Source organism: Homo sapiens, chromosome 12 (assembly GCF_000001405.40).
Source record: "Homo sapiens chromosome 12, GRCh38.p14 Primary Assembly".
NCBI lineage: Eukaryota > Metazoa > Chordata > Mammalia > Primates > Hominidae > Homo > Homo sapiens.
Window position 1 is genome coordinate 46,795,094 of NC_000012.12, and position 14,968 is coordinate 46,810,061.

General features: G+C 35.0%; 1 protein-coding gene across 3 annotated transcripts in view; it reads right to left on the minus strand.

Annotated features, from left to right (window-relative positions):
- The window catches only part of SLC38A4 (solute carrier family 38 member 4), a 67,671-nt gene that overhangs the window by 30,333 nt on the left and 22,370 nt on the right, over positions 1–14,968 (minus strand). Inside the window, exon 2 of one of the 3 annotated variants that reach the window (NM_018018.5) lies at positions 8,510–8,701. The exons of the other annotated variants lie outside the window; for them this stretch is intronic. The gene's annotated coding sequence lies outside the window, so the exon portion shown is untranslated. The remainder of the gene's footprint in view (positions 1–8,509; positions 8,702–14,968) is intronic. 3 annotated transcript variants of the gene reach the window in all.

Here is a 14,968-nt window from a genome sequence, read left to right on the forward strand (position 1 = left end):
TTAGCTTGTTACTTAAAGTTAGCCATTCTAGATCTGAATAATTCACTAAAGCTTTTTTGACTTGGTTTACTGATTTTAGACTGGTTACCCATAAAAAATAAGGACATTAGCATACTTTTTCTTTCTTTCCTTCCTTCTCCTACACTCCTAATTATTTTAGTTAATAAAATACTTTTACAATTTGAGAATCATAATATTTTCATCTTGTTCTGTGAAACAAGTGTCATAACTTGCCTGTAGGTTGTTTCTAAACATGGAAAACCAATAAGCAGCAATTACAGTATTATCACTGTATAAATAGTATGCCCTAAAGACAAAGTGGTGTATTTGACTACATAATAAGTGAAATATAATTCTATATTACCAAAACTTTGAAAGCAAATTTTCTATGCTCTTTCTCATTCTGAATGGCTTCCTCCTCCAACCTCTGAGTCTTGCTCAGCTGCTAGTTTCTTGAACGGCATTCTATCTTCTTTCTTCAGTTTATTTTGCATTATGCTAAAATAATGCCTTGAATAACTTTTTTCACACAATGAGCCTATGTCTGTAAATAGAATTTCTGAGTTGCTTCATGTTGGAAAATTCTTTATTTTGCCTTCAAACTTTGTTAATTGTTTGAATTCTAGATTCAGAAGCATTTTCCTTCAGAATATTGAAGAAACTTCTCTCTTCTAGCTTCTATTGATGAGTCTGGCTCTTATTTCTTTATAGATAATTTATCGATGGTTTTCTGAGGATTTCAGAATTTTTATCCTTATCCTTTCATCACGACGTGACTAGATGTGAGTCGCTTTTAAAATTCATCATACTCAGCATGCAGACGGCCCAATCAAAAGGCTTGTCTTTCTTCTATAGAAGACACATTTTCTAAAAATAAAAAAAGTTCTACTATTTAAAAAAACTATTTCTTCCCCTTTGTTTACTCCTGAAACTTTTATTAATCAGGTATTGGACCTCTTGATCCATATTGCTAAGCTTTTCTGTTTATGTTCGATCTGTTCATCTTACTGCTCGATGTTCAGGAATATTTCCTCAATGTCACATCCAAAATAACAAATTTCACCTTCAGCTATATCCGTTTCATTTTTCAACTTGTCAGCTATTTTTCTCAATCATGCTCTTAATTTCTAATAATTTGCTCTTATCCTCTTTCTCTTTTTTCATATCACTTTTTTTGTTTTATGGATACTATATTTTCTCAGATTTTTCTAAGGATATTGATGTGAGGTTTTCAGAAGTTCCTTTTGTTCCCTAAATTATACGTTTCTTCTGAAGTTAGTTATTCTGTTTGTTCCCTTTGGTCCTTCTCTTCCATGCTGCTCATTTTCCTTAGTTTCAAGTGTTCCTAGGTTATCTGTTCATATTTGTGAATGACAGAGCGCATCGATTAGCTTGGACAGCTGGTACTCAGAGCTTCTCTGAAATTGTGTGGGCCCATTTCACTGATGGGCTGCTCCCTTGTAGGTTCTGTGTAAGTGGCTCTTCTGCTGCTTGTCTGTGGGAGGAGCATCCCACTCCCAGACACAGCTGCCACTCTAGGAGCAGTTACTCCGGGGGTGAAGCATTTTAATGTATCTTCTTTTTGGTAGAGCTTCCATTCCTGTTTGTTATACCTCTTTGTCTGCAGTAGAGGCCCTAATGCTTATCCTAGCATCCTCCCTTGAGGTTTCTTTACAGATTGGATCACAGCTTTATCTTATAGTCAAAAATGGTATCCCAAACAGACCATGATGTCTAAACTGAGGTTCCTTGGTGGATACCTGATCACTGGTTGCCCATGATCTATGCCTCCTCTTTGTCTTTATCGACTTAACTTGAAGCTACTGCAGGGCTCCCTATGGGAAAAGCACACTTATCTTGGTTCCTTTTCTCTTAGATTTTCCAACCCTATCTTCTTTCTGCCTTCTAGGAATTCTCAAAAATTTCTATTTGCTGATGACACCACTATTGCTTTTCACAGTTTTTGTGGTTTGTCCTTTTAAAAATATGTGACATTTCATTGCTTGACTTCCTTAAAGCTAGATCCTAAGCCCCATTCTTCCAGTCCACTCCCAAGACTTCATATAACGTGATGGTTAATTTTATATGTCATTGTGGCTGCATTAAAGGATGGGAAGATAGCAAGTAAAACTTTATTTTGGGGTGTGTCTGTGAGGGTGTTTCTGGAAAAGATTACCATTTGAATCAATAGACTGAGTAAAAAAGGTCCACTCTCACCACTGAAGGTGAGCATCCTCCAAACACTCCAGGTTCCACATAGAACAAAAAGGCAGAGGAAGGGCAAATTTACTGTCTCTGCTTGAGCTAGGACATCCATCTTCTGCTGCCTTCTCCTGCCCTTGAACATTGGAGCTCCTGCTTCCCAGACCTCGTAATTCTGATACTTATACCAGCAACATCCTGTTTCTCAGCCTTTGGCCTCAGATTAAATTATACCACCAGCTTTCCTGGTTCTCCAGCTTGCAGATGCTGTACTTTGAGATCTCTTGGCTCCATAATCATGAAAGCCAATTCCCATTATAAATGTCATCTTATATCTATATACATCTATACCTGTCTGTCTATTTATCTCCAGTTGGTTCTGTTTCTCTGGAGAACTCTGATGAATACATATACCAAAGACTCCTCAAGTTACATCAGCCTAGGCTTCTCCTGGGAACTCAAGTTCCATGTGTCCAGGGGCCTAAATGTCATCTATATATCTCAAAGGCAGTTTAAATTCAATGTGTTCAAAGTCTAACTTGTGATAGGCCCTCTTCTTCCAATGTTTCCATTCCAAAGAATGTTGTCACCATTTATCCAATTATTCAAGTCAAAAGCATAAGAGCCTTCTATTATAAATTTTTCTTTCTTACCCTCCACATCCAGTTCTTTACAAAGTCTGGTTGACTTTTACAATAAACTGAAGTATTTCTCAAGTTAGTCTTTTTCTCTTCATTTCTTTCACCTTCACTCTTGTCCAAGCTACCATCATGTCTACTGTAAAAATCTCCTAATTGATCTTCAATTCTCTTTTGCCTCCCCTAACCACCCCCACCATTCATTCTTTACCCAATACCCAGAGTGATCTTTGAAACATAACAGCAACAACACAGATCATATCATTTATTTGCTTAAAACCCTTTAATGTCTTCCCTTTACTCTGAGGATAAAGTCCAAAATTCTCAACATGCCTGGTAAGATTCTGCCTGGTCCACCCACCTCTCTGGTCTCATCTCCGTCCACACTCTCCTCACCTTAGTGTTCTAGCTACACTAGTCTTTCCATTCCAGAAATCCACCGTGTTCTCTACATCTCAGGTCATTTGCACATGTGGGTCACAGTGACTGGCATGCTCCCCTCCCTCCTCCACTCCATCCTTAATTTATCCAGCCCCTCTAGGGGGCCATAGCAGTGTCTTTCATAGTATCCAACTTAGTCTGGGGGATCAGGGAAGGCTTCTCTGAAGAAGGAGCAGCAGGGCTGAGATCTTTGCTGCTGTAAGTATACATGTCTGCAGTCCAAAAGCTTCAGTTAAAGTCTGTTCTACTTTGTATATTAATAGGAACCTCATTCATTTCATTTGCATTAAGCCATGCTAATCCCAGAATTTTTTTAGAAAAGATATATCAAACACTCATATGGCACTTACCACATGCCAGCCACTGTTTTAAGGCCTTACATCTATCAATTCTTCAGAGCGGTCCTCTGAGGTGAGTACAATTTTTTTTCTTATTCCCATTGTACAGATGAGGTAATGGAGGCACCAAGTTGAGTGGCCTTCATGCTATGCCACCTTTGTATTGCCATCTCTACTACAGAGAACTAAAGCCTAATCAGGGAACAGGAACTATGTCTTTGGCAGTAAGCGAAACTGGGTATAAATCCTGGCTGCATTAACTAACTTCTGACTTTTCCATTTTCTATGAAATGAAGTTAATATTATTTACCACAAAGCAGTGTTGTGAGAATTTAAATGAGATAATGAGTGTCAAAGTTTGGCCTATAGTAGGCCTTCAATAAATTTAGATCTGTTTTCTCTCTTCCAGTAATCAGAATTGAATTGATGTCTTTATGTAGCTGCAAACATACATAATATTTCATATGCATAATTAGACACTTACAAAAGAGGGCTTTACAGTTCTCAAAACTCTCACAAACATTGTGAGTGAGGTAGATGCCCCTTCACAAATGAACAAATTAAGACCTAATTTTATGCTGTTTTAACATATATAAAATATTTATTGGGATGGGCACGGTGGCTCACACCTGTAATCCCAGAGCTTTGGGAGGCTGAGGAGGGTCTATCTCCTGAGGTCAGGAGTTTGAGATCAGCCTGCCCAACATGGCAAAGCTCCATCTCTCCTAAAAATACAAAAATTAGCTGGGCATGGTGGCGCATGCCTGTAGTCCCAGTTAATCTCCTGAGGCAGGAGAATGGTTTGAACCCGGGGTCGGAGGTTGCAGTGAGCTGAGATTGCACCACTGCATTCCAGCCTGGGCAACGAAGATTCCATCTCAAAAAAAAATGTATTCTATTTTTGCCTTGGCCAAGGGAGCTCTCACAAAAGTTGAGACACTTTTTCATGGCTTATATCTTAACTCTGAAGATTATATCACTGATCTATTTAAGGGAACAATGGTTAAATGCACAATTCAAAAAGAATTAGCACATTATGAGAAACTAAATATTCTGAATCATCTGTCTACAGCACAAAGTATATACCTTGAAGCCTTTAGACTATATCATAATTGCTAAAATTTAATCAGAAACTATGGAAGACACAGAGGATGAATAAAACAGACTCCTTGCACCTGAGGAACTCAGCCTACTAAAACAAACAGATTTTGAGCAAACTCTTAAAGCATAATATAATTAACATTTTTTACCTTTTTCTTGGAATAAATGTGCATTGAATTAATCAAAGAATTATTGCATGGGTAGGATAGAAAAGAATATTGCTGGCAAACACTGTAATTGAAACATAAAATTTTCATAGGCATAGATTCTTCTGCTGTTTGCCATCTCAGAACATGCTACCTTCATTCACCCAACCACTCACTGGGTAGACCTGGCTGTCCCATTCTCTATCCTTCACCTCCTACTCATGTCCAACGTATCACCAAGTCCTATCAGTCCTTCTTTCAACATTTATTTAAAATTCATCCACTTCTATCTCCATGACCACTATGTTATTCCAAACGACTGCGCTACTGAAGGCCCTACTGTGATTTTGTCATCACTTTTAGACTAAAGTCAAATTTCCTAATACACTGGAAGGTCTATATACTTTGACCCAGACATAGCTCTTTAGTCTCATACTGAAGCCGATCACCCCTCACTCACTGAATATATTAGGCTTCTTTCATTTCCCCACTGCCACTGCAGGACCTCTTAAGGCACTGTTCCCTCTGCTTGGACTGCCATTCCCCACATTCTTAGCCCAGGTCCCTCCCAATGTTAACTAAAACAACCTGAAAATCTTTAAAGGCCAATTGGTCAGAGTGTCCTGCTCTGACCCCACATTCCCACATTACACTAGATCTGCCACTATATGCTCTCCTCTCCTGCGTAGTATTTATCACACTTCTTACTTACTCTTTTAGTTGCCTATTTGATAATTAACTGTCTTAGGCAGAAGCTTCATGAGAATAGGAATGCTGCTGGGGTTGTGGATTCTACATATTCCTAGCATCTAGCACAGTGCCTAGTGTTACATTCCACTAAGATAAATGCAATTTGATATGATCTGTGTTATAGTAATAGATAGAGGTATGCTTTTTGATTATAGTTTTATAGGATAATGCTTCAAAATGAAATGAAAATTCTCTCCTCTGATTGTCAGGAGAAAAAATCGCTTTGTTGCACAGGGAATGTTCAAAATGCTTCTAAAAGAAAAGTCAAATTTAGTTCAACAGAATTTTCTATAGTCTAGCCTTTCTCCTCATTAAAGTTAAGTTTCTCTCTAATACAAAGAGGTCTCGCAGAAACAGACTGGATTTTCTAGCACAGCAGTGCTCAACTGCGTTGTTAATTCAATTGACTCTTCATGAAAATACAAAGTCAAAACTTGAAACCAAGTATTTAGAATATTATTATATTAGAATAATTTCATTTCTATCATATTAATTAAAAGGTATCTAAGTGTTCTGAGTAGCTAATTCTTTATATCCAAATTCTAATTATTAAACATTGTAATGTCTTGTTCTTTGGATGGGTACCTAAGAAGTTCAGGGTGTAAGGGTGTCAAAACAGTAAATTTCTTAAATTTTACCTGTATGGTTCAACTTTAAAGAAAGACATCAAGTCTGGAAAGCAAAACAGTCCTTGAGTCGAGAAGCAAAAGTTCTGACCTTCCCTAGTTACTGTAAACATTTATTTTACCTGATAAGTGAAAGTGAAAAAGGGAGCTAATATAGCCAGAGCAGATTTCCCAGCATTGCTATCTGTCTCATCTTTCATGCCTACCCAGTATTGACAAATTCACTTTGAAATTTAGGTTTAGGTAGCAGAAAGCCTCACCTATCATTTACCCTTTGGTTGAGCAAGGGTCATGCAACTTCTAAAAGCCAAATCATCTTGTATCCAAGGAACTTATTTAAATCTACATCCACCCTGTACCATAGATAAATGAATGTAGCTTTTACACTACAATCAGTCTAATATTACCTTTATATTAAATTATCTTAATTTCCCCAACAATGCCATTCTTGTCATATTTTGTCAGTGAGAGCGCTTGTTGGTCTATAGCATGAGTTCTCACAGAAATTAGCTTCCATAAAAGTATTCAGTCTGAGGTAGCTCTTAAAGAAGAAACCAACAATAACAGCAGAACTGTACTTGACTATTTCCTATTGCTAGTGCTAATATTTTGGCATTTCCTTTTTTCCTCTACTCAGATATAGCTTACAGATAATATCTAGGAAGAACTAGAAAAGTTAAGATAAATAACCAAATACTAAGGTCTTTTCCCATTTCTGAAAAGATTACATGCTTGCTAATATAAGAATTAAAGCAGCCATTTGATGAGGTATAAAGGACTGGTCATAAGATTTGAATATGCGATTTTGTTTACAGACTTTCTAGCTCTGCTCTTAGAAGAAAACATAGTCATCTTAAACATAAATTGCCACATAAATTTTAGTTCATATTTTCCCAAAGAGTAGTTTCCAGAATGCACAGGGATATGTAGCATACATGATATTAACATAGTGAACTCTTTCTGCTCCACATTTTAATGCATGATACTTAATCTGTCATGAGTTCTGGATGCAGTAAGTTCCATTCATTATAATAGATACTGGACCATTCCCAGAGGTACTTTTTTCTTCTTCTTAGAATAATTATTTTCACTTTCTTTAAACTAACTCACATAACTAAAAAACAGCTTCAATAACCTTAAAGCACACTGTATAACATGTTTAAAGAAAACTCAAAAGTTGAGTCATTAAAGCTACATTTTTCAGATCTTAAATGTTGCTTATATACTTCTTAGGAGTACAAATGTAAATACTTTCAAGAAAATCCCAGAATGCTATCTAAATATAAATCGAAACTGGAGGATCTTGAACTATAAACTAAATGGCAATCTTTTATTAAAAACACACCCAAATTTCTTTACTTTGTCAAAACTAAAACTTTTTAGCCCAGTGTTCATGAATGTGATATATATCATCAATTCAAATATTCTTCCACTGAGTTACAAAACACTCTTAGTTTTACTATACCCTGGGCATTTAACTAAAACCATCCACATATGCTCTGTAAGATACTCAAAGTACAGGGATACTTAAATCCACTGGGAATTCTCCTCTGTCTGATTAATAAATTTGAGGAGAACACCTCTACTTTTAGATAATTGACTCTACTCCTTCAAAATCTAAAGCTATGCTTATATTCCATTCAATTCCCTAGTTTCTTTTAGTAACTTTGTTCTAAAAATACTCCTTAACTAAAATGGTCAAATTAAGAAGAAAAGGTAAGACACAACATTTTTTCTTTTTCATTTGATAATGGTACAGCCCAAACTCTTAGCCATTCACATCTGCTGCACTGAAGTGATGTTCCTTCTTTGATTAGTCAAAAATTTTGTGGGGTTTTATTTGTTTTCAAGATAAACAAAAATCTTTAATAGTGTAATATTGAGAATGTATTTCTGAACTTTCATATTTTTTCCTAAGACAGATTATGTCAATTCTTCATTATAGTCCATGATCAACCTGGAGATATAAATAACTAAACACATTTTACCGGCTGTATTTGCAATGTTTCCCTTTCTTATTATTCACTGTCCTAATTTTATGTTAAACCTAAAATTATCTGTAAAAGAAAACTGCAATCAGGACCTGGGTAAATAATTTCAATGTTTGACATTATACTGAATTGATCATTTCTAAAATGAGGAAAAAAAGTTATCCAAGTAGTATTTTCAAACATTTTAATTTTTAATTAATAAACAAACAACACAATAAAAATAAGAAAGTAAGCATTATTTTAACACTGCAAATATTCATGTAAAAACAGCTGTACCTTAATTATTTATCCAGTCCTGTGCAGGCTTTCCTGACTTGTTTGGAATGGCAGACCCGTGTAACAGCTTTGATTTATATGAAACTTTAGAGATCTAGACATTGATTTAAAGACCAGTGGGAGTGAACGAGACAAGCCAATCAACACCACCACCTCACCCCAACACCTCCTTCTGTCCAACTTGCGTCAGCTCTTGAAAAAAAAAAAAAGAGAAGCTAAGTCAGTTTACTGTTGTACATTTGGATTAAACATCAGTTACACCAATTTCTATTTGCTTTTAGAATTTTGGCTTTCATACAATAAAATAATCACTGAAAGTTTTAGCTTGGTTGGTGTCATTCTCTATTAAGATTTTACTAGGTTGGTTGACTGATGAATCCAGAAATATTCCGTTTTCAAAAGACTTATGAATTGAAGTCAAAGCAAAACAATACAGTAACAATAGTTATGAGGTCAGATTGTTTAATGAAACATAATCGAAATCTCCAGAAAATATTGATTACATAGTGAAAGAGTTATTTTCTTTTAAGTTGTTGATCTTTTCAGAGAAAATTTTACAGAATGACAAATACTTCCAAACGGTACAGTTACTCAAGATGCCATGAAGTTGGAAATCACAGGCCAATATCAGCCACCACTCCTACACCAACGGCAGTGTGCTGAGTAGGCAAAAGGCTGTTTGGCATTTTAAAAGAATTTTTAAGTAGGTATTTTCTGCATTAAAAAAAAAATCTACTTGGCTCTCAACATGTCAGAGGTAGGGTTTTTAACTCTGCCATATTTTATATGTTGGCAAATCATTTATTTATTCTGCTATTAAAATGTATCAACTAGAAACTATTCTGAAAGTGAGGAAAGAAAAACAAATCACAAACGAATCAAGAATTGAGGGTTCTTTGCCTTTTAAGTATTTATGACATGAATGAACAATCTAATAACCAATCAGAAGCAATGCTAGATTACAACAGATGTGTCAATTCCTATTTCTATAAAAGAAAACTAAACATTGCTCCTCGAGTAAGATATTCTTAAGTCGATGCAAGACATTAAACATTAAACAAAATGTGTAGTTAACAATTTTTTTTCCTTTCCAAATGTGCCCGTTTGGTCTATTAACTGTATAGTATTGCAAACTTACTTTTACTTGTCTCTTAGCTCATTGTCTATTTTTTAGAGTTACCCCATAGTTTTGTCTTTTATCAGACGAGAAGTATTGTGGTCTAGGGGAACAATGATAATAACAAATGTACTAATTTTAACGGTAGGGAAATCTCAAAAAAATTCCTTTTAAAATTTCTATTTCCATCATTTAATAGTGATGTTTCCAATTTAAGATTTCTTTCTGTTTGCAAAGTTACCAGATAAATAAAAGATTAACCATGCAAAAATTGCAATAATTGTTAGAAAATCAAATCTATTCTTGTAAAATTTCATTTAATAGTGGGTCAATCAAACAAGAATGAATGCACTCCAATATGTTAATTTGATATTAAATTATAATATCATTTAAAATCGGGTGGAGATAAATGTATAGATCGTTAAAGTTTTACTCTTCCTAAAATTGTAAGCTTTGGCTTTGTTGTAATTCTGATCTTCAAGTATAGTAAATAATTATAGTAAATTAGCATTGGATAAAAATTAAAAGCACACACAAGAGACTTCTATTGAAGAGTTTAATCATGTTTCTTTTAAACCTACTCTACATAGCAAAATTCTTATTACAAAACTTTTCTAACACTGACTTAAAAATCAGATATATACACATGAAAACTAATTTGGCAAAAGTTAATAAATTAAAACAATTAAGTATCTGGTTCATCATTTGACTATTTTTTTCCCTAGATCATTTGACATTTTCAGATGTGGCCAAAATTAGTGAAGAAATATATGGTCTGCTCTCAACAAAACTCACGATAACTTTTCTTTCATAAGCAAAACACAGACTTAATCATTATAATTATAATTTAATGTTCTGAATATTTATTAAAATCATACCACAATGTAATCTCATGCGCATTTGCTAATAGACTTGTGCTGTTTTGAATTTTAATGCATGGCACATGCAACATTCAGTTAGGCTCATGCTTGTTTCATGTACCATAGTAGAAAGAGCTAATCATCAGAATATGGGCAGACCTTAAAAATGAATAAAATGAAAAATACGTAAGTAGTGAATAATGAAGCAAGTCTGGGAATGAGATGACAAACACTTTAACTTGACCTTCACATAAGAAATTAAAATATGTGCCACCATGAATAGATATATGAGATTTGGTCTGTGTGTCTATAGGGGTAGGGGCTGGGGGTAAGATACATCCACATAAAGGGAGACTTGGCTTCCCAGACTAGAACCTACTTAGTGTCAGCAGAACTGCACAGCATGCTCCAGGACTCCAGGAAATAAGGAGTCCCTAGGGACTGAGGACATTCAAGATTTCAGAGAGCCCACAGACCTTGAGCCGGCTATTAAAAGTCCATGTGAGATTCTAGTAGGTGGAGAGGAAAAGGAAAGACATCCTAGATGAAAAATACCCTTGTAATTCTGATCTTCAAGTATACTAAATAGTTACAGTAAATTAGCATGTTGGATTAAAATTAAAAGCTAAAAATTAAAATGCCAGAAGTATATTCTGGCAACAGTGAGAATCATTCTGGCTCCAGTAGAGACCTTCTGGAGCAGAATAGGAGAACAGAATGGAATAGTACAGACTGCAAAAGGTGTTAAGTCTAGGGAACTCAGATTTTTAGTGATGAAGATCTTTTGAAAACTTCTGAAGAAAGTAAGAAAATCAGCATAGTAAAAATGTAGGAGAGATGATGGTGTGGAGGTGGTGGTGGAGGTGGAGGTGGGTACAAGGAGGCCAGTAGGAAGGTTGACTGATAGTTTGGGTTTGGTGATGTTTGCCTATCTGAGAATAATGGCAGAAGGAAAGGTAGATGGACAAAATTTAAATTGGAACCAATGGTAATTTGACTCTTTCTCTTGTATTCCTATTTCTTTTTATCACTTTCACTAGCTCACAATGCTATGAATTTTAAGTGATCATTTTATGAAAAACAAGAACTAGCAATAAAATCTTCATTTTCCTTACATAGAGAAAGAGAACGTATGGTGATAATTCATCCATTTCAACACCCGTTTCATCAATCTATGACTATCACCTTCAAATAGTGTAGAGAAGGTCTTAGAATGTACATCCCAATGTAATGTTATCTATTGAAAATACAAGAATGTTGGCTCAAAATACAGTGATTCAGATTATACCTGTACATTGAGTAAGAAATTTTCTTATACATATTTAAAATCATTGATTATATGGTTTAAAATTTCTACCTCCAACAATGACCTTAAAGAGAAAGTTCCAGCGGGATCAAGTTAAAATTAGTCAACAATTAAAAAAAAAAATCTTAGACCATCATGGTATTTTGCAACGACAGTGGGAGAGATAAACTGTTGTTCTCGTCATGACTATACCTAAATTTCTAATTTTAGTCATAGGACGAAATAATATTTGAAAATAAAATTTGGTTGTAGCCAAATTGGAAGAAGACATTTAGAAACAGTAATGACTAAGAAACAAATTATGTATTTTTTAATACTTTTGTAATGCCTTTGTTTCTGTAGTCATTGCTTTTCTTTGCTCTCACTTCAATTTCCCTTTAGGTCATCTCCCTTTTTTCTTGCTTCCATTTCTTTTTAACTTTTCTATACAACATTGTATTTATGATGCCTTATTCTCCAAGAAGTTACCTTTTACCGTAGATTCATAAACTCAAGATCTAATTGATTTTTTTAATCACATCATAGGTAAATGTCTATCTGACCTCCCAGGTCTTTCCTAAAAAGTGGAAAATACTAGCAGGACTGCAGAAAGAAACAATATTTTGATTACTTCTCTTTAATATGGATTTGCTGTCTGCCTTTTCGTTTTCAGACTTACAGTGTTAAAGAGAATTTGTGATCTTTTTTGATGTCATTGTTTTGGCACTTCAAATTCTTCATTTTATTTCTCTTTTAATATAGATACTTGCAAAAAAAGAAAAATAGAGAAAATCCATAGAAAAATGTTACAGAAATCTTCCTAAATTATTCAAATAGCAGAATTCTCTGCCATGATAAAGGGGAGTCAAGCACTTCTATACCTGAGCTGTCATATTATTTGTATCACTTGTAAAGTAATGAAAACTTAGGTACACTATAGGCATCTCTTTACATGGTTCTGTAATTATTAACCTCAACTTACAAAATAAAAAATTGGAAAGAAAAGAAGAGATAATTAAATGTTACCCCCCCCCCCAAAGCCACATATAAAATTAATTGCAAACAAAGAAGTAAAGATCAATAATTTTCTAATTTGCTTTGGCAAAGCCTCTCAGATTTCCGTGGAAGCTTGAGCCACTTCTATTTTTTTAAGACACCAAATATACATATATATCTTTGCATTGTTTTAATCCAAAATGGGATTACTAAAATGTAGTGCATTTTAAACATTTCTATTTAACAAAACAACATCTTAACACACATACAATACAAATGACTACATGATTAGGATCATTTGATGATACCTTCAAAAAATCTAAATTTGAGACCCTCCCAAATATGAAGCCCCAAAGAGCTTTCAGCCCAGGCCCCTGGGAGAGGCTCTGATTTTCCATTCTAAGAAACCCCACCAAGTGAAATGCAATGACCCACAAGTTTTGAGGAAATTGCTTAGCTGATCGCACGCCCCTCTCTTCAACCCAACCTAAACCACCTTTTCAGTTATATAATGGAGCATTCTGGAAATGTTTGAATAGTCAACTACTATGTTGCAAAATTAGCAAACAAGTTTGGTTCAGGTTGACAAATTTATTGACTTTGCCACAGACCTAAATAGAAAATTGCTTTTAGCCTCAGCTGACAAAACAAGAAAATTAAATTAAAAAAAAAATCTGGTTAGACAACAGCCCATGATGTCTATATTTTGCCTCTGCCTTTCACCTTTGAAAAAGATCCTTCTGGTCCACTTCATTTATTGATCCCACACTGAAATGATGCAATGAAAAGTATCACAAGTTCATTTCAGGCTTCCACCTAAGCAGAAATGTAATGTAACAAGGTCTATAGGACTTATGGGTGATTACAACTTAAATAATGTACTGAAATTCTAAATGTTAAATTAGAACTTTTAGAAGCTTGCTTTAAAGAATAATTTCTAGCCTTTAAAATGCCTGCTTCAGAAAACAGCACTGCTAAGAGATGTATAATTATAATAAGTATAACAATACTTCCTGAAAACTGACTCACCTTGTTAACGTAAGTTCTTCATACAGAATACATATTATGGCAGTGCTGGGCTGGGTTGACTCTCTAGTTCATAGCAATTGATAGTTTAAAAAATTACATTCTTCTTAGATCACAGCATATTAATTTCCATGACTCTCTTTCATACTCCTGCCTGTCCCTACCAGAACAATTTTGATGCATTTTGATTTTGTAATTTCATTAGTGATTGGACTTTGTAAACCTGTTATCATCTTGCTTAAATTTGGACTTTCGGTAGTTTAAGCTGTGACCCAATATGCTGTGTGGATAGACTTTAAAAGCAAGGGGGCCCTCCTAAATGGTGATAATGCTAACATATGCTTCAAAGAATCAGGATCCCTACTAACTAAAGATATGTTCAGGCTGGCCTTTTTACTATCCTATCCAGAATGTTAGAAATAAGAAATGCATGTTCACTAGAAAATGTCTTTCAAAGGAATCTGAGCAGAGAGAGAGAAATAATAGTGTCATCGACATTTCCTCATTCACTTTTTAATGAACTCGGGAGGATTTCCGAGTCAGGTCTCCTCAGTAGAGAAGAGGGCAGGCTTCTGCCTGAAAAGCTTATTTCTGCTGCTGGACTCCAAGCAACTCCCAGGTGGGGCCATGGTGTAGTCAGAGCCCTTCACAGGGACACTTGTTGCCTAATGCACCCATTCTTCACCACAAGAGTTTGCAGTGCCCAGCATGGGACATTAACTGAGCTTTTTGTACTTTACGGTTGCTTTAGTTAGGAATTATAATTCTTGGAAGGCTGGGTATAAAATTGGTAGCACCAGTCTTTCTTTAAATATAGGAAAAATAAATTCAGAATAGAATGCAATTTCTATTCAGAAAAGTAAATGTTTTGACTTCATTTGGTGGGACAGCAGCAGAGGGCAGACTTTGGACAGATGGTATATTTAGGTCTGGGGATGGATTCAAGTATGTTTAGATGGCCGATTTGCAGTAATTATAAGTATTCTCCTTTTTTGTTTACCTTGATTAATATTAGACTATGCCTCGTGCATAATAGGTACTATATAAACACTGAATGAATGAAAATCTTTATTTAAGGCACTGATTCAATTTGTGCATTCAAAATCTTTCTTTAAAACTTATTTGTGTATGAGGTTGCAGCAAGAGACATTCTAATAATTATCAGTTGATGGGTC